At 50.6% G+C, this 1,323-nt stretch overlaps 1 annotated feature.

Annotated features, from left to right (window-relative positions):
- Window positions 366-867: an enhancer, noted in NCBI's record as "H3K4me1 hESC enhancer chr11:13960135-13960636 (GRCh37/hg19 assembly coordinates)". NCBI's record gives its function as "activates a minimal SCP1, AML or CMV promoter by ChIP-STARR-seq in naive H9 embryonic stem cells {active_cell/tissue: H9 hESC(naive)}" and the evidence as "EXISTENCE:reporter gene assay evidence [ECO:0000049][PMID:30033119]".

Below are 1,323 nucleotides of genomic sequence, written 5' to 3' on the forward strand. Positions count from 1 at the left end.
TCATTTAAGGACTTCTCTACACTGGTTATTCTAGTTAGCCATTTGTCTAATCTTTTTTCAAGGTTTTTGGCTTCTTTGCGTTGGGTTCTAACTTCCTCCTTCAGCTTGGAGAAGTTTGATCATCTGAAGCCTTCTTCTCTCAACTCGTCAAAGTCATTCTCCATCCAGCTTTGTTCTGTTGCTGGTGAGGAGCTGTGTTTCTTTGGAGGGGGAGAGGCACTCTGATTTTTATAATTTTCAGATTTTCTGGTCTGTTTTTTCCCATCTTTGTGGTTTTATCTATCTTTGGTCTTTGATGATGGTGACGTACAGACGGGGTTTTGGTGTGGATGTCCTTTCTGTTTTGTTAGTTTTCCTAACTGTTAGGACCCTCAGCTGCAGGTCTGTTGGAGTTTGCTGGAGGTCCACTCCAGACCCTGTTTGCCTGGGTATCAGCAGCAGAGGCTGCAGAACACCGAATATTGCTGAACAGCAAATGTTGCTGTCTGATCCTTCCTCTGGAATCTTCATCTCAGAGGGGTGCCGAGCCATGTGAGGTGTCAGTCTGCCCCTACTGGGGCATGCCTTCCAGTTAGGCTACTCGGGGGTCAGGGACCCACTTGAGAAGGCAGTCTGTCCGTTGTCAGATCTCAAACTCCGTGCTGGGAGAACCACTAGTCTCTTCAAAGCTGGCAGACAGGGACATTTATGTCTGCAGAGGTTTCTGCTGCCTTTTTTTCAGCTATGCCCTGCCCCCAGAGGTGGAGTCTACAGAGGCAGGCAGGCCTCCTTGAGCTGCGGTGGGCTCCACCCAGTTCGAGCTTCCCTGCCGCTTTGTTTACCTACTCAAGCCTCAGCAATCGTGGGCGCCCCTCCCCCAGCCTTGCTACCGCCTTGCAGTTGGATTTCAGACTGCTGTTCTAGCAATGAGCAAGGCTCCGTGGGCATGGGACCCTCCATGCCAGGCACGGAATATAATCTCCTGGTGTTCCATTTGCTAAGACCATTGGAAAAGTGGTATTAGGGTGGGAGTGACCTGATTTTCCAGGTGCTGTCTGTCACAGTTTCCCTTGGCTAGGAAAGGGAATTCCCTGACCCCTTGTGCTTCCCGGGTGAGGTGATGTCTCGCCCTGCTTCAGCTCACACTCGGTGAGCTGCACCCACTGTCCTGCACCCACTGTCTGACAAGGCCCTGTGAGATGAACCCAGTACCTCAGTTGGAAATGCAGAAATCACCTGTCTTCTGCATCACTCATGCTGGGAGCTGTAGACTGGAGCTGTTCCTATTCGGCCATCTTGGAACCGCCCCCTCTCATTTTCATAATAAGGTTATAGATTCACCTG

The sequence above is a fragment of the Homo sapiens genome, chromosome 11, assembly GCF_000001405.40.
Source record: "Homo sapiens chromosome 11, GRCh38.p14 Primary Assembly".
In the NCBI taxonomy this organism is placed as follows: domain Eukaryota; kingdom Metazoa; phylum Chordata; class Mammalia; order Primates; family Hominidae; genus Homo; species Homo sapiens.